The sequence below is a fragment of the Homo sapiens genome, chromosome 2 (assembly GCF_000001405.40).
Source record: "Homo sapiens chromosome 2, GRCh38.p14 Primary Assembly".
Taxonomy (NCBI): domain Eukaryota; kingdom Metazoa; phylum Chordata; class Mammalia; order Primates; family Hominidae; genus Homo; species Homo sapiens.
The window spans coordinates 83,788,311-83,807,732 of record NC_000002.12 but is presented as its reverse complement, the minus strand read 5'-3'; the positions used below and the strand labels follow the sequence as shown (position 1 = coordinate 83,807,732).

The 19,422-nt window shown below is 39.0% G+C and overlaps 1 annotated feature.

Annotated features, from left to right (window-relative positions):
• Positions 18,243-18,807: an enhancer, noted in NCBI's record as "OCT4-NANOG hESC enhancer chr2:84016050-84016614 (GRCh37/hg19 assembly coordinates)". NCBI's record gives its function as "activates a minimal SCP1, AML or CMV promoter by ChIP-STARR-seq in primed H9 embryonic stem cells {active_cell/tissue: H9 hESC(primed)}" and the evidence as "EXISTENCE:reporter gene assay evidence [ECO:0000049][PMID:30033119]".

The window sequence follows — 19,422 nt, the reverse complement described above, 5'->3', positions numbered from 1 at the left end:
GGTCATGGGAACCCCAATTTGAAGCTGGTCAGTCAGAAGGTAAGGAGGCCCAGATTTACAATGGACTGGGGACAGTTTTGAAGACTGAGCCCTCATTCTGTGGGATTTGATGCTGTCTCCAGGTAGACAGTGTCAGAATTTAACTAGATGGCGCGTAGCTGCTGTCTGCTGTGTTGATTGTTGTGTGGGAGCAGAGGAAAAACATGGTTTGAGAGCTTTTCCCTAGGCTTCCAATACCCTCAGGTGGGTGTCAGGAGCATTCCTTTTCCTTTTGTGTTTGGCTCATACCTCTTCCATCTTTTCTCCAGTAAACTCTGGGAGTGTGGTTAGTTTCCAGCACAGCTTCCTTCCTAGGTTGCTAGCTTGCTTGCTTGCTTGCTTGCTTGCTTGTTTCCTTCCTTCCTTCCTTCTCTCTTTCTTCCCTCCCTCCCTCCCTCCCTTCCTTCTTTCCTTTTTTTAAAATTTATTATTATTATCTTGAGACAGAGTCTTGCTCTGTCGCCCAGGCTGGAGTGCAATGGCACCATCTCAGCTCACTGCAACCTCCACCTCCCAGGCTCAAGCGATTCTCAGGTCTTGGCTTCCTGAGTAGCTGGGGTTACAGGCACGCACCACCATGCCCAGCTAATTTTTGTGCTTCCAGTAGAGATGGGGTTTCGCCATGTTGTCCAGGCTGGTCTCCAACTGCTGACCTCAAGTGATCTGCCCACCTTGGCCTCCCAAAGTCCCGGGATTACAGGTGAGAGCCACCACGCCAGACCCTACAGCCTTTTTTCTTGTGCCGCCACTAGAGCAGGGAGCCAGAAACAGTCTCTCTCTTAGGCTCCTTCAGTCATGAGCCTCCAGTGTTCACAGCTCAAGATCTAGCGTGGTCCCACCAAAGCCTCTCACCTTGGCCTGGATGTGAGAGAAAAGCACCCATTCTCGTTCCCCACAGGAGGGGATATAATGCCATAATACTGAATATTTTTCCAAAGACATTTCTGCTCCAAGCTTCTTCAATTCAACAATTCTATGAGATATGAGGTAAGTATAGATCTATGGGTTATTAAAAACAGTCTTTCCTGTGCCAATCCTACATAGTAAGTCTAGACCATATTTTTCGGATGTAAGTCTATTTGCTACTTACTATATTTATATTTTGTTAATTATTTTGGGAAACTGGACAAAATAGGGTAAGCATCGTATGATACTTAAAACTGCTGAGAAAGAAATAATGTTATTATTCTACCTTGATTTTATAGCTGAGGAAAATAAGGCATAAAGAAGTGAAATAATGTTTAACCAATATTACATATTTTATCAGGGTGCTGGGAACTTAATTTCTTTGATTTATTTCCTGTAGCCATACCCATCATAGTTTTGCTAACAGTGTGACTGGGAGTAGTGAGATATAAAATAAATTTGGGCCTCAGTTTCCTCACCTTTAACCTAATTTTCTCAAAAAATTAACATAGTAATGTTAAGTAAAGTCGATAGCGGGGGCTGGTCCAATGTGGGTACCCAGAAAATAGAAGCATCACCCTTCCTTTACCACTTTTCTCCATGCTTCTTCCCTAAACCCACACACATTTCTAAAAAATTCCAATATGATTTTAAAATAACATATACATTTACTTAAATCTTTGAATTTGAAATTACATTTCGAATTTGAAACAACATTTGAATTTGAAACAACATTTTGACATCTTTTGTTCTATTGTAAGTCCTAGGGCAGAAAGGAGACGTCTGGGGGCAGGGTGGAGGTTGCTGTGTCTGAATGTAAAGAGGGAAAGCTGTGTCTGAATGTAAAGATTTGTCATATGACAAATCTTATGAAGGTGAGTAATTACAAAAGGATTTAGTGTCTGCGATGGAGACACTAATGGCACTGAAGGAAAAAAATCTCAGTATAGTGCTGAAATCTGTAAAGGAGTGGAGCCATCAATGGTCTCAGGCAACTGCTGATTAATCTATGAGCAGGGCTTGTTTAGTAAATAAATGACCTAGACCAACATTAACTTCAGCAGTTCGAGCTCTGAACACACAAATACAGATCAAAAAATAGAAACTGTTAGACACGACAGTGAAAGAATAACAGTGCCTAGAAGGTGTCAAAGCATAATATATTGAGTAGATGACTGATTTGCACTATAAGCAAATGTCATAACTCAGTAAGTGGAACCAAATTGGTTTTCTTGATTCTTATGTGTGTGTATCTATATAGACATACATATATTCTCGATTGGAAAGAGAAGATGATTTTTGGTTCTACAATTCTCACTGCTGACCTGTGGAGAAAGGATTTTGGAAGAATTACTGCCCACTGGGTAATTTCAGGTTTGTAAAATACCTGGTGATCATTTCAGCAGAAAGATACAATTCTAATGTGAAATTAATTCTGAGCTTGTATCACTCCTTGTCCCAAGTTCCTCCCCATATGTAATTAGGCACATCAGAAAGTGCTAGTTTTATCTTTCTGACATGCCAATTTCTTTGTCAAGTCTTGATCAAGACTTGTTAACCGCACTTGTCTTTTGACACCCTTCATAAAATGGCTTACTAGTACTGATGAAGCTATATTTCCTGATATTCCTCATCTTCCTTCTGTTCTATTCAGAGATGCCATTTTATCAATGGTTCTGGGACTAGCGGACTCCACATGTTGATGAAAGGATCAATTATTAACCTAACTTGGTGCCAGGCATGGTTTTCCATATAAAGGCAGTAGAGGGGAGAAAGAAATTTGTACTTGATTGAAAAGGCTTCATATGGACATTGGACAGTAATACAAAGAATGTGCTTGGCTCTGTATGTTCAGCTTAGAGGTGAATCTTTAGGACTAGGACTTCTGCCTTAGAGGACAGGCTCCAAATCTCTGACCAGGATATCTAGACAGTAGACAATTCTTGGAATTTGGGTGGGTTGTTCTTTCATACCAGGAAATCTGACTTCGAGCTATTGAGGCAAGTAGAGGATTATGGGAAATAAGATGGCAGAACTCCACCCTTTATATGTAATTTAGGCTAGGACTTTAGTCTTCAAGGGAGTGTAGGCATCTAAGCAACATAATGCACAAAAGCTCAGTTGTACAGCTTTGGCTTGCATGGCAATGGGGGTCAGAATTTACTCTCCACATATAACCTGCGTACCCAGAATGCATACTAGTAACCAAAAGGCTGGTCTTATTTGTTAGTGATAAAAACCCATACAAGTCACAAGAAAGTTCTACAGCTGTTGCTGGGACCAGGCCCATCTCTAACATTTGTGGGTCTGGAGGAAGAATATAAATATGGAGGCCTAATTCCATATGTCTAAATATTTAAGCTATTGTCAACATAAACATCTGTTAAATAATATGAGCCCAATTGCCATCCTTCTATCTTGGCAAATGTTTAAAATGTTTTTAAATGTGCAAAAGATTAAATTTTTATGGCTGAAAGTCATCAAAATATAAATACTAAATCTATTATTTCATGTATCTAGTTGGCTAATATAGTGATACTTTACACAAAGAAGACATACATGACTTACTGTACATTTATACTGAAACTATTAAATTTATCTTTACTTTCAGTCTCACAATCAGTCATTATGTTGTTATAATCAGTATTTCCACACCACTTTGAATACTGCTGACAAAAATGCCAAATTACACAACTTTTTTGAGTCATTAAAATTTCGATTTGGAGAACAATTCTGTAAAAACAGAAGCAACTGGAGTTGTCAATAAAATTTTAAGACAATGGCTTTTTAAAGTGAGCTAGAAATTCATTGAAATGATGTTAATATGAAGAAATATAATTGTTGCAAATTGATAAAATTTTTATCTATACATTTTCATTACTTATGTCACAATTTTTATCTTTTATTTAAATCCATACAGTATTTACCTTATTCTCTTTTGGAATTTCAATGCTAGAATATTAGAAAGAAACCTATGAATACTGATATATTATCATTTTTTCCAAATCTCTCTTCAGTTGATGCCAAACCTTGACTTCACCTGGAAAATACGCTCTCTTTAGAGATTAGTTTAAGTAGTATTTGTATGTCAATCTGTAATGGACATGCAGAGTCTTATTATCTTGTTTTAATTGGGATATCATATTTATTGGGTATATCTCAAGGAATTTCTTTCAATTAAACACATATTTTCTCCAAAATTTGAAAAATGTATCTATTTTTAAGGTATTTTAAAATGTAAGGGGAACTTTCATTTTTCAGATGATGAAGTAGACGTGCTTTTTCCTCACTCTTCCCTGAGAACACCTGAAAATGCTGGACATTATATATAAAACAAATGTAATAAGATTCTGAAAGGTTAATAAAAGATGACAGAATTACTAAAGACCTTGAGTCCCCCAAAATGATATAATAGTAAGTTGCCTGAATTTTCCTTTTGCCTCATATATCCCAGTCTGAGTGCTGAAGAAGCCAGCAACCAGGAACATCATCAGGCACAGACAAAAAAAAAAAAAAAAAAAAGGAAAAAAAGGCCTAAATAAAACCCTGTTCCCTCTAGCTGAAGAATCATGAAAAGGGTAGCCTAGCAAGACAGGAAAGTTAAAGGATATAACTGTTCCACTGCGGCTGGCCAAACATCACAGAAAAAAAACTGTGGCCCAAATGCCAACCCCACCAGAAAAGACTGAGTGAAGGAGTGAGGGGTCTCAACTTCTCCCCTCATGAGGCTGTGATTAGGTTCCCCAAACCCTTGACTAAAGTCGTATCAAAAAAGTCAAGTGGGAAGCCAGGACTTTCACCCCCACGGGGCAATAATAAGCCCCTTACCCTGACGTGATCCTGGGAGCCAAGTCATGAGTTTTGACTTCCACATCTACCTGGAAGTAACGATGCGACCCTCTCCCTGTGCAGGGGCGGTGTTAAGAGAGGCCTAGTGGAGGGTCAGGCTCAGCAGCGATGAAGCCGCCCACACTGTGGTGCTGGTGGAGGCCACGTGGGCAGCGGTAATGGTCCTGCCCACTCTTCCCAGCTGGGAGGCTTCCACGCCAGCAGTGGAGGACTGTGACTTTTCCACTGGCCCAGAAGGATTGAGGATCCTCCTCCTTGGGTGTTAAGGGTGGCTGAGTAGAGAATATGGATTTTTACCCCCATGGCAGTAAAAAGGTCTTCCTTTTTCCCACCACAGTAGTATCCAAAGCAGCCAGTTAAACTGATTTAAGTAAGATACAGAGTCTCATAACATAATACCTAAAATGTCTTGGTTTCAACTGAAAATCACTCATAACAAAGACCAGGGAGATCTCAAACTTCACTAAAAATAATAAATTCTGACATGGAGATGACAGAGATTTTGGAATTATTTGACAAAGATTTGAAAGCAGCCATGATTTTAAAAAATGTTTTAACAAGCAATTAACAGCATGCTTTAGAAAAGCGGGCCGGGCGCGGTGGCTCACGCCTGTAATCCCAGCACTTTGGGAGGCCGAGGCGGGCGGATCACGAGGTCAGGAGATGGAGACCACGGTGAAACCCCGTCTCTAGTAAAAATACAAAAAATTAGCCGGGCGTGGTGGCGGGCGCCTGCAGTCCCAGCTGCTTGGAGAGGCTGAGGCAGGAGAATGGCGTGAACCCGGGAGGCGGAGCTTGCAGTGAGCCGAGATCGCGCCACTGCACTCCAGCCTGGGTGACAGAGCGAGACTCCCTCTCCAAAAAAAAAAAAGAAAGAAAAGCGACAAAATACAAAAATCCCAGCAAATAAATAGAAAATATAAAGAATAACCAGGTGCAAATTTTAAAAGTAAAAATTCAGTAACTGAAATAAAAATTCCAATGGATGTCTCAACAGAGGAATAAAGAAAGCATATGAAAAAAATCAGTGAACAAAAAGATACAACAGTGGAAATTACCTAATTTGAGAGCAACACAGTGAAAAGAGACTGAAGGGAGAAAAGAAAAAAACAAACAAACAAAAAACAAAAACAGAACTTCAGGGACCTGTGGGACTGTCACAAAACATCTAAAATCTGTGTTATTGAAACCCCAGAAAGAAGAAGAGTGAGTTTGAAAAGTGTTCAAAGAACACCTTCTCATATTTGCCAAGGCATAAATGTACAGACTCAAAATGGTGAAAGAATCTCAAATTAGAGAAACCCCCGAAAATTAATACCAAGATATATTACAGTCAAACTTTTGAAAACTTAAGAGGAAACAAAGCAGAATCTTTAAATCAGTGAGATAAAAATAGCACCTTATCTACTAGAAAAAAAAGAAAAACCCAAATGACTGGAGTTTTCCTTAGAAAACATGACAAGAGAAAGTGGCACAATATTTTTAAAGTGCTGAAAGAAACAAAACAAAACAAAACAATTTATCAACCAGAATCCTATATCCAGTAACAGTATTTTTCAGGAAGGAGGGAAAATCATGACATTCTGAGATAAGGGAAAATTAAGGTAACTGGTTGCCGGCAGAATTACTCTAAAAGCATGGCTAAAATAAGCTATCTAAGCAGAACAGAAACAACAAAAATGTAATTTTGGAATATCATCGAGGAATAAGAAACCAGGTTAATAAATATATCAATATATAAAATAGTCTTTTCTTCTTTGTTTGAGTTTTCTAATTTATGTTTAATGATTGAAGAAAAATATGACACTGCTTGATGTGGTTCTAAATATATTTATTTAGAGAAAATATGTAACACAACCAAATTATGAATAGGGGAGAGTAAAGAGATGTAAAAGAAGGTATGGTTTCTACACTTCATTTGAATAGTTAAAATGATATATATAATTAAAATTCTCCTCATAACAATATTCTTTTAACCTGCCAGCTGATATCGGTAATTCTATGCCTTGAATCTCATTTGATTAATTTGAAGCTGTACCCTTTGAACAGGGTCCAAATATTTTTCAACAATTATACACATGTGAATTTTTTATATAGTTTCTTAAAGTTTTATATAGTTTTTTAAAGTGTTGCTTTTACTATTTTTCTTTTCTCCAAGCATAATATACAAGGAAAAGTCCACATAAGTTTATACCTCAAGGAGTTTTCAAAACAGTGACTCTACCTATATAACCTGCACTCAGATAAAAAAATAAGAACATTACCAGCACCCAGAAGCCTTCTTTATTCCATTCCTCATCATGTTTATACCTCAAAAGTAACAGCTATTTTGAATTCTAATATCATAGATTAGCTTGGCTGTTTTTGGACTTTATATAAATGGAATCACATGTTATACACTTTTTTTATCTTTTTTTATTTCAAATTATATTTGTGAGGGTCTTTCCTATTGTTGCTTGTAGTCATGTTGTGTTCTTTTCATTTGCTGCACAGAAATCCATTGTATAAAGTTAGAGATGAGTAAAGAAAGTGTGAAAATACTGGCTGTCAATTAATTTAGGAAAGTATATTGATACTTGGTGCCTCTCCAGTGTCTTAGCCACATTTTCATGTTTGAGGATGAGGAGACCTCATTACTCTACAGTTCTACCTAAGAGATAATGACAATGCCTTCCAACACCTAACAACAGAGCCCAAAATATATGAAGCAACAATTTATAGAATTGAAGGGACAAATAGTTCAGAAATAATAGAGACTTTAATACCCAAATTTCAATAATGGATGGAAAAAATAGGAGATCAGCAAGGAATTAGAAGAGTAGAAAATATAAACTCACTAAACTTAGCAGACATCTATAGAATGCTACACCCAACAGTGGCAGAATATACGTTGTTTTTAAGTGCCCAGATGCATTCTCCAGTATAAATCATATGTTAGACCAAAAAACAAGTTTTGGTAAGTTATTAAAAGATTAAAATCCTAAAAGTCTTAGATCACAGATCACAAGAGAATGAAATTAGAAATTAATATCCAGAAAGAAATTTGAAAAATTCACAAATACGTGGAGAATAAAGGAAAACATTGTTAAGAAGTTAATGGGTCAAATAAAAAAGAAAACAATTTTTCTCACAAGTGAAATTTGAAGATACTTTCATATAAATGAAAATAAAACCACCACACATGAGAACTTATGAGATGAAAAGAAAGCAGCATTTAGAGGGAAATGTATACTTATGAGCTCCTACATTAAAAAAGAATAAAAATAGCCAATCAATGACATAACTTTCTGCCTCAAGGAACTAGAAAAAGAGAGAAAGTTAAACCAAAAGGGAACATGTCTGAACAGATCAAACTTGCAATGAAAAGTTAATATCAAATCTTCTTAAACTCTTCCACAAAAACTGAAGAATAAATCCAAACTCATTCTATGAAGCTGATATTACCATGATACCAAAGCCAAAGACGTGACAAGAATAGATCATTATAAAATATGACTTACAAATAAAGATGCAGAAATTCTCAACAAAATTCTAGCACACCTAATCCAATAGCTCATAAAAGGATTGTATACCATGACCAAATGAAATTTATCTGATAAAAGAAAGGTGGTTCAACATATGAAAACTAACCAGTGTAATACACCATATTAATATAATCAGAAAGAAACACATGATTATCTCAATAGGTAAATAGGTACAGCCTTTGACAAAATGATAATCATGAAAATTCTCAACAAAATAGAAATAGGAGGAAACTTCCTCAACCAGATAAAGGGCATTTATTTTTAAATACCCACAGCTAACATCAAACTCAATGATGAAAGACTGAAACCTCTCCTGCAATGATTATGCACAAAGTAAGAGTGCTTTGTTTTGCCATTGGTATTTAAGAATCACACTACAAGTATCAGTCAGGAAATAAGAATAAGAAATAAAAAACATACAAATTTGAAAGTTAGAATTAAACCATCTATTTGCAGAAGGCATAATTTTATATGTAGAAAATTCTAAATAATCCACAAAACTTTAGAGCTAAGAAACCAATTCAATCCAGTTGCAAGACACAAGATTTATAATGCACATAAATTAGTTGTATTACACTCTAGCAATGAACAATTCAAAAGTAAAATTAAGAAAACCATTCCATTTAAAATTGCATCAAAAATAATAAAACATTAGGAATAAATTTAACCAAGGAGATACAGGTCTTAAACATTAAAAAGTACAAAACAGTGTTATTTTGAAATTTGAAAAGACCTAAATAAAAGGAAAAACATTGTGTGTTCATGGGTTGGAAGATCTAATATGACGATTAAGACTTAAGATGGTAATACTCCCCAAATAGATCTACAGATTCAATGCAATCCCTATAAAAATTTCATTTTTTTTCCAGGAATGAGCAAGTTAATACTAAAGTTTATATGAAATTACAGGGGACCCCAAATAATAGAAACAGTCTTAAAACGAAGATCAAATTTTGAGGACTCGCACTGACCAAATTAAAAATTATGACCAAAGGACAGTAATTAAGGCAGCATGGTTCTGGCATAAAAATATTCATATAGATAAATGGAGTTGAACATCCAGAAATAAACCTATACATCTACAGTCAGTTGATCTTCAACAAGGGTACCAAGACCATTTGATAGAGAGAATAATCTCTTCCACAAAAGGTGCTAACACAACTGGAAAACCACATGCAAAAGAATGAAGTTGAAGCCTTACCTCATGCCATATACAAAATACACTCAAAATTAATTAAATACCTAAACATAAGGGCCAAAACAACAGAACTCTTTGGGGAAAACCTAGGGGCAAATCTTCATAAACTTGGTTTTGTCAGTTAAATCTTAGATAAGACAGAAACACAAAAACAAAACAAAAAAGACAAATAGGACTTCATCAAAATTAACAACTTTTGTGCATCAAAGGGCATTATCAGGAAAACAAAAAGACAGCCCACAGAGGGGATATTTGCAAATTATATATCTGACAAGGGAGTAGTATTTAGAATCTATAAAAACTATTACAACTCAATTTACAAAAGTACAAAAAACCCAACGGAAAAATAATGGACAAAGACTTGAATAGATATGTTTCCCAAAGATGTACAAATGGCTAATAAGCACAGCAAAGATGCTCAATACCATTAGTCATTAAGAATATTTAAATGAAAATCAAAATGAAATACCAGTTTATATCCATTAGAATGATTATAATTAAAAACATGGGAAATTACAAGTGTTGGTGAGAATCTTTATAAATTAAGCATGGAATTACCATATGACTAATTCCTCTCCTAAGTATGTACTCAAGTGAATTAAAAACAGATGTTAAGCAGTTGTACATAAGCACTCAAAACAGTATTATTATTAATACCCCAAAGTGGAAAAGCCTGTATATGCATCAGTTGGTGAATGGATAAAAAAAAATGTGCTATATCTATACAGTGGAATATTATTTAGATATAAAATGTAGTCCTGAGGCATGCTGCAATATCAGTGAATTTTGAGAACATTAGGCTAAGTAAAAGAAGCCAGTCACAAAAAAACACATATTATGATTCCATATCTATGAAATGTTCAGAATAGGTAAATTCATAAAGACAATAATATTAGTGGTTTCCAGTAGTGAATGGGGAAGGAGAATGGCAATAAATGACTGTTTAATGGCTACGGAGTTTCTTTTTGGGGTGATAAATATTTTCTGAAATTAAGATTGTGGTGATGCCGGCACCACCCTGTCCTAAACACTACTGAATTGTACAGTTTAAAATTGTTAAAATGGTGAATATGTGAATTTACCTCAGTTTAAAAAGATGTCTGCTATTTTGAATTTTATGAAGAGTGATGTGGCAGGAATGCATGACCACGGCTGGCCAAATGGTCCTCCAACTGGCGGTATCACATTTTTTTCTCAATAATGTAAAAAGCATCAGTGAAATATACACCAAAATTAACAACTCTAAATTTGAAATTAGCTTCTACTAATGACCTTAAAAGATTTTATGGAGAGAAAAAAATGATCAAATAATCAGGATTTTTCTGTTAGTTTATAAAACTAAAAGCTTATTTGTTCATACAGAGCTTTGTAGTTGACTACATATCTACATATGCAAAGAGATAGAATAGGAAGAATGATGTATTTGGACCTTTAATTTGAACTCACTGAACACTCATCTGGCCCTACTTTTATCATCTGTAGAATGGAGATACACAGTTCTGTGATTTAATGGATAGAAATGGCCATCACAATTGTTGCTACTATTGTTTGTGTCTAATTTTACTTGTACCATACAGCAACCTTGGGAGCCAAAAAAGTTTGCTTTTCTTATCCATATTTTACTGATGTTGACATTGTAACCGAGAGAAGATATTGCTCAAAGGAATACAGCCTGTAATTGGAATACCTGAGACTTCTGGCTTATAGCTGATCCTTTCTATCTGCCCAGCCTCTGATTATAGAACTCATAACATTCTGTCAACTGAGACAAATAAAATCTCACAAAATGGCAATTATTTTAAAATTGGGTACTGTGCCCTGAAATTTTTTCTTATTAATCTGGTACACAAAGCTGTGCAACCCAGAATGCCTTCTCTCTTCTCTTCCCCTCTTCTCTCCTCCTCTCCTCTCCTCCTCTCCTCTCCTCTTCCTCCATGCCCTTTCTCACTTCAACCTGGTCTAAACTTAGAGCAACTCTTTGAAAACTGAGTATATGCTGTATTGCCACCAATAGTGGTGAGGCTATATGGTTGTGGTACCCTGTGGTCATCTGATCAACACAGGTTCCTGGTGAAAAAATTCCTCCAAGTAACTGTGCTCCAGAAAGGTGCTGAGATATGACACATCATAGTGGAAAATGACATTGACTGTGTTTTGCTAAATAAGCTTTGCCATTTTCAAAACTGTATTAAGTGTAGGCTCTTATCCAGCTCTACTGACACCATCATTATTCTACTGCAGTGACAGCTTGATGAAGGAATGATGACCTAGTGTGCATGGGAGAAAGAACTTTGGCCTGGGAGTCATACCAAGTCTGAATAATGGCTCTGTCATTGCCTCCCTGGGTAATATGAGGTCTGAGTCGAGTTAACATCTGATGCCTTACCATCACGCGTGATGCTAATCTTGGGATTTAAGGCCATGTATGTCCAGCCTTGGGGAGTTATTTTGGCACACTTAGGTTTTTATGTTTTTAGCCTGTAAAATATGGATGTATATAATATGATACCCCTGATCAATTGCAGATTTTGTATTCTGAGACATGATACTGCATTGATATCCTCATATTAACTTACATTGTTAATACTATTTCAATTATATTCCCAGTGACGAGGAGGAGAATTTAAGATAATGATTTTTTAAATGTCATTACATTTTCCTATTTCTAAGATGGCTGTGACATTAACAAACATCATTATTTTGATAACAGCTTTTCCAGGAAACAATTATGCTCCCTTAAATAAACAAAAATACTGTCCAATTAGCCAACAGCATCATGTATTTATATAATTAAATATTATTTAAAATTTTAATACATCTTAGAATCTAAAATTTCGAAGAATTGAACATTTCTTCACATTCAGGCTCTAAAAACATAATTACTATTGATTTTTGACTGTTTTGTATGGCAACATGGAGACGTACTACTTCTTTAGTAGATTTGTGATTGAGACCCATTTAATACCAATAAAATTAACAGAATAATTTTGTGGTAAGAAAAAAAGATTGAGGTTTTATCTACATTTCTGATTTGAATAAAATAATAGTACATTTTTTCTCTGAATTTGTCTATCATGTAAAATTAAACAACTTTTCATTGTTGCTTGTTTGTTTTGCTTTGTTTTGTTGAGACAGGGTCTTCCCCATCACCCAGGCTGGAGTGCTGTGGTATGGTCTTGGCTCACTGCAGCATTCACCTCTTGGGTTCAGGTGATCCTCCCACCTCAGCCTCCCAAGTAGCTGGGACTACAGGTGCAACTACCACTCTCAGCTAATTTTGTTAATTTTTTTGTAGAGACAAGGTCACGGTATGTTGCCCAGATGGTCTCAGACTCCTGGACTCAAGTGATTCTCCTGTCTTGGCCTCCCAAAGTGCTGGGATTACAGGAATGAGCCACCATGCCTAGCCAGAGGCCACTGACAACTTTTGCCAGGTTGATTTTTAGTGCCTTGCTAATGTTCCTTCACTATGTTAGAATCAGCCATGCTCTCTCTCCAGTTTTGCAAATGCTTGATCTACTCAAAAAGGTTTGATAGTTACAAGAGCCTTTAATTGCAGTGCCTGACATGTCAGGAAACTCTTCTATAGTTTTCCTGATGTCTTGATGACAAGAATTTCAGTTACAGTTTTGGGTATTTTTCTTCTAAAGTCCTATAAAGTATTTGGTTGTTGTTTTATATTTTTTAAGTTGGTTATTCTTCCAGTGATACAAATTTACTTACCTTCTAAAAGTAATGTCAGGCCTCTGAGCTCAAGCTAAGCCATCATACCCCTGTGACCTGCACGTACGCATCGAGATGGCTAGTTCCTGCCTTAACTGATGACATTCCACCACAAAAGAAGTGAAAATGGCCTGTTCCTGCCTTAACTGATGATATTGTCTTGTGAAATTCCTTCTCCTGGCTCATCCTGGCTCAAAAGCTCCCCCAGTGAGTACCTTGTGACCCCCACTGCTGCCCGCCAGAGAACAACCCCCTTTGACTGTAATTTTCCTTTACCACCCAAATTCTATAAAACGGCCCCACCCCATTTCCCTTCGCTGACTCTCTTTTTGGACTCAGCTCGCCTGCACCGAGGTGAAATAAACAGCCATGTTGCTCACACAAAGCCTGTTTGGTGGTCTCTTCACATGGACGCACATGAAATTTGGTGCCGTGACTCGGATCGGAGGACCTCCCTTGGGAGATCAATCCCCCATCCTCCTGTTCTTTGCTCTGTGAGAAAGATCCACCTATGACCTCAGGTCCTCAGACCAACCAGCCCAAGAAACATCTCACCAATTTCAAATCCAGTAAGCAGCCTCTTTTTACTCTCTTCTCCAACCTCCCTCACTATCCCTCAACCTCTTTCTCCTTTCAATCTTGGTGCCACACTTCAATCTCTCCCTTCTCTTAATTTCAATTCCTTTCATTTTCTGGTAGAGACAAAGGGGACACGTTTTATCCGTGGAACCAAAACTCTGGTGCCAGTCAGGGACTAGGGAAGGCAGCCTTCCTTTGGTGTTTAATCATTGCAGGGACACCTCTCTGATTATTCACCCAGGTTTCAGAGGTGTCAGACCACGCAGGGACACCTGCCTTGGTCCTTCACCCTTAGCAGCAAGTCCCGCTTTTCTGGGGGAGAGGCAAGTACCCCAACTTCGTATCTCTGTGCCCCGATCCCTTATTTCCACGCCCCAACCTCTTATATCTCTGCACCCTGATCCCTTATTTCCGTGCCCTGACCTCGTATCTCTGTGCCCTGACCCCTTCTCTGCTTTTCTGGAGGGCAAGAACCCCCCCACCCCTTCTCCGTGTATCTACTCTTCTCTGGGCTTGCCTCCTTCACTATGGGCAAGCTTCCACCTTCCATTCCTCCTTCTCCCTTAGCCTGTGTTCTTAAGAACTTAAAACCTCTTCAACTTTCACCTGACCTAAAATCTAAGCATCTTATTTTCTTCTGCAATGCCGCTTGACCCCAATACAAACCCGACAGTTCCAAATAGCTGGAAAATAGCACTTTCAATTTTTCTGTCCTACAAGATCTAAAAAATTCTTGTCGTAAAATGGGCAAATGGTCTGAGGTGCCTGACGTCCAGGCATTCTTTCACACATCGGTCCCTCTCTAGTCTCTGTTCCCAATGCAACTCATCCCAAATCTTCCTTCTTTCCCTCCCACCTGTCCCCTCAGTCCCAACCCCAAGCGTCGCTGAGTCTTTCTAATCTTCCTTTTCTACAGACCCATCTGACCTCTCCCCTCCTCCCCAGGCTGCTCCTCGCCAGGCCGAGCTAGGTCCCAATTCTTCCTCGGCCTGCTCCTCCACCCTATAATCTTTTTATCACCTCCCCTCCTCACACCCAGTCTGGTTTACAGTTTCATTCCGTGAGTAGCCCTCCCCCACCTGCCCAGCAATTTCCTCTTAAAAAGGTGGCTGAAGCTAAAGGCATAGTCAAGGTTCATGCTCCTTTTTCTTTATCAGACCTCTCCCAAATCAGTGAGCATGTAGGCTCTTTCATCAAATATGAAAAACCCAGCCCAGTTCATGGCTCATTCGGCAGCAAACCTGATACGCTTTACAGCCCTAGACCCTAAAAGGTCAAAAGGCTGTCTTAGTCTCAATATACATTTTATCACCCAATCTGCTCCCGACATTAAATAAAACTCCAAAAATTAAATTCCGGCCCTCAAACCCCACAACAGGACTTAATTAACCTCTCCTTCAAGGTGTACAATAATAGAAAAAAGTTGCAATTCCTTGCCTCCACTGTGAGACAAACCCCAGCCACATCTCCAGCACACAAGAACTTCCAAACGCCTGAACTGCCGTGGCCAGGCGTTCCTCCAGAAGCTCCTCCCCCAGGAGCTTGCTACAAGTGCCAGAAATCTGGCCACCAGGCCAAGGAATGCCCACAGCCCAGGATTCCTCCTAAGCCGTGTCCCATCTGTGCGGGACCCCACTGGAAATCGGACGTTCAACTCACCTGGCAGCCACTCCCAGAGCCCCTGGAACTCTGGCCCAAGGCTCTCTGACTGACTCCTTCCCAGATCTTCTTGGCTTAGCAGCTGAAGACTAATGCTGCCCGATTGCCCTGGAAGCCCCGTAGACCATCACGGACGCCGAGCTTTAGGTAACTCTCACAGTGGAGGGTAAGTATGTCCTCTTCTTAATCAATACGGAGGCTACCCACTCCACATTACCTTCTTTTCAAGGGCCTGTTTCCCTTGCCTCCATAACTGTTGTGGGTATTGACAGCCAGGCTTCTAAACCTCTTAAAACTCCCCAACTCTGGTGCTAACTTAGACAATACTCTTTTAAGCACTCCTTTTTAATTATCCCCACCTGCCTAGTTCCCGTATTAGGCCGAGACACTTTAACTAAATTATCTGCTTCCCTGACTATTCCTGGGCTACAGCCACACCTCACTGCTGCCTTTTCCCCCAGTTCAAAGCCTCCTTCACATCCTCCCCTTGTATCTCCCCACCTTAACTCACAAGTATAAGACACCTCTACTCCCTCCTTAGCGACCGATCATGCACCCTTTACCATCCCATTAAAACCTAATCACTCTTACCCCACTCAATGCCAATCTCCCATCCCACAGCATGCTTTGAAAGGATTAAAGCCTGTTATCACTCACCTGCTACAGCATGGCCTTTTAAAGCCTATAAACTCTTCTTACCATTCCCCCATTTTACCTGTCCTAAAACCAGACAAGGCTTACAGGTTAGTTCAGAATCTGCGCCTTATCGACCAAATTGTTTTGTCTATCCACCCTGTGGTGCCAAACCCATATACTCTCCTATCCTCAATACCTCCCTCTACAACCCATTATTCTGTTCTGGATCTCAAACATGCTTTCTTTACTATTCCTTTGCACCTTTCATCCCAGCCTCTCTTTGCTTTCACTTAGACTGACCCTGACACCCATTAGGCTCAGCAAATTACTTGGGCTGTACTGCCGCAAGGCTTCACAGGCAGCCCCCATTACTTCATCAAGCCCAAATTTCATCCTCATCTGTTACCTATCTCGGCATAATTCTCATAAAAACACATGTGCTCTCCCTGCTGATCATGTCCGATTAATCTCCCAACTCTCAATCCCTTACAAAACAACAACTCCTTTCCTTCCTAGGCATGGTTAGTGCGGTCAAAATTCTTATATGAGAGCCAGGACCGCTCCCGGTAGCCTTTCTGTCTGAACAACTTGACCTTACTGTTTTAGCCTAGCCATCGTGTCTCCGTGCAGTGGCTGCTGCCGCCCTAATACTTTTAGAGGCCCTCAAAATCACAAACTATGCTCAACTCACTCTCTACATTTCTCCTAACTTCCAAAATCTATTTTCTTCCTCATACCTGATGCATATACTTTCTGCTCCTCGGCTCCTTCAGCTGTACTCACTCTTTGTTAAGTCCCACAATTACCATTGTTCCTGGTCCGGACTTCAATCCAGCCTCCCACATTATTCCTGATACCACACCTGATCTCCGTGACTGTATCTCTCTGATCCACCTGACATTCACCCCATTTCACCATATTTCCTTCTTTCCTGTTCCTCACTCTGATGCTTGATTTATTGATGGCAGTTCCACCAGGTCTAATCGCCACACACCAGCAAAGGCAGGCTATGCTATAGTACAAGCCATTAGCCCGCCTCTTAGAACCTCTCATTTCCTTTCCATCGTGGAAATCTATCCTCAAAGAAATAACTTCTCAGTGTTCCATCTGCTATTCTACTACTCCTCAGGGATTATTCAGGCCCCCTCCCTTCTCTACACATCAAGCTCGAGGATTTGCCCCCACCCAGGACTGGCAAATTAGCTTTACTCAACATGCCCTGAGTCAGAAAACTAAAATACCTCTTAGTCTAGGTAGATACTTTCACTGGATAGGTACAGGCCTTTCCTACAGGGTCTGAGAAGGCCACCACAGTCATTTCTTCCCTTCTGTCAGACATAATTCCTCAGTTTAGTCTTCCCACCTCTATACAGTCTGATAACAGACCAGCGTTTATTAGTCAAATCAGCCAAGCAGTTTTTCAGGCTCTTAGTATTCAGTGAAACCTTTATATCCCTTACGATCCTCCATCTTCAGGAAAAGTAGAACAGACTAATGGTCTTTTAAAAACACACCTCACCAAGCTCAGCCACCAACTTAAAAAGGACTAGACAATACTTTCACCACTTTCCCTTCTCAGAAGTCAGACCTGTCCTCAGAATGCTACAGGGTACAATCCATTTGAGCTCCTTTTTATTAGGCCCCAGTCTCATTCCTGACACCAGACCAACTTAGACTGTGCCGCTAAAAAACTTGTCATCCCTACTATCTTCTGTCTAGTCATACTCCTATTCACCATTCTCAACTACTCATACATGCCCTGCTCTTGTTTACACTGCCGGTTTACACTGTTTCTCCAAGCCATCACAGCTGATATCTCCTGGTGCTATCCCCAAACTGCCACTCTTAACTCTTGAAGTAAATAAATAATCTTTGCTGGCAGGACTATGCTGAATTTCCTTAGGCACTCTCTAATCAGATGTCCTGGGTCCTCCCAATTCTTAGACCTTTTATACCTGTTTTTCTCCTTCTCTTATTCCATTTAGTTTTTCAATTCCTACAAAACTGTATCCAGGCCATCACCAATAATTCTTCACGACAAATGTTTCTTCTAATAACCCCACAATATCACCCCTTACCACAAAATCTTCCTTCAGCTTAATCTCTCCCACTCTAGGTTCCCACGCCACCCCTAATCCCACTCGAAGCAGCCCTGAGAAACATCGCCCATTATCTCTCCATATTACCCCCCAAAATTTTCACTGTCCCAACAGTTTACCACTATTTTGTTTTATTTTTCTTATTAATATAAGAAGACGGGAATGTCAGGCCTCTGAGCCCAAGCTAAGCCATCATACCCCTGTGACCTGCACGTACACATCCAGATGGCTGGTTCCTGCCTTAACTGATGACATTCCACCACAAAAGAAGTGAAAATGGCCTGTTCCTGCCTTAACTGATGACATTGTCTTGTGAAATTCCTTCTCCTGGCTCATCCTGGCTCAAAACCTCCCCTACTGAGTACCTTGTGACCCCCCACTGCTGCCCGCCAGAGAACAACCCCCTTCAACTGTAATTTTCCTTTATCTACCCAAATCCTATAAAACGGCCCCACCCCTATCTCCCTTCGCTGACTCTCTTTTTGGACTCAGCCTGCCTGCACCAAGGTGAGATAAACAGCCATGTTGCTCACACAAAGCCTGTTTGGTGGTCTCTTCACACAGAAGCGCATGAAAAGTAAAACTATCTTTCTCTACTTTAATTCTATACTTTTTTTGTACTTACAGTATCTCATATATAGTCTACTATTAGTGTTGCTTCTCAGTTTAATTTTGGTAAAATATTTTCAGTCATGATGATGTGCAAATGTAAGTTATAATTCAATTGCATATAGTGATAGTTGTGCAAATAACTGAACTGAGGCAATACTGTCAATAGAGATCATTTTCACAGGGCAGAATTCATGCACGCGCAGCAGTAATGCCTACATTAGCACTTAACTCTTTTTTCTAGGGTTGGAAGGATTATTTTGGCAGGAATTCGAAGTCACATCCTGGTTTGGGAATAGTCAAAACATGGAATGATGAATGTTTTAAAATCAAGAAATTATATGTATGTACATGTAAAGTGTTTATTATTATATTCAAGCACACAATGCCTTAACCATAACATGGATGAACATTTTCAATAAGACATAATGGCAAGTCTCTGATAGTCATTAATGGAGCAGGACTCACTGCAGTCAAGAGGGTGAGATACTCAGCTTGTCTTTGATAGCTACATGCTTGCTGTATGGCTTTTGCTACTGCATCATTTTTCATGAAACATACACATTCCTTCCATAAAATCATCTTTCACTAGTTTCAGTGT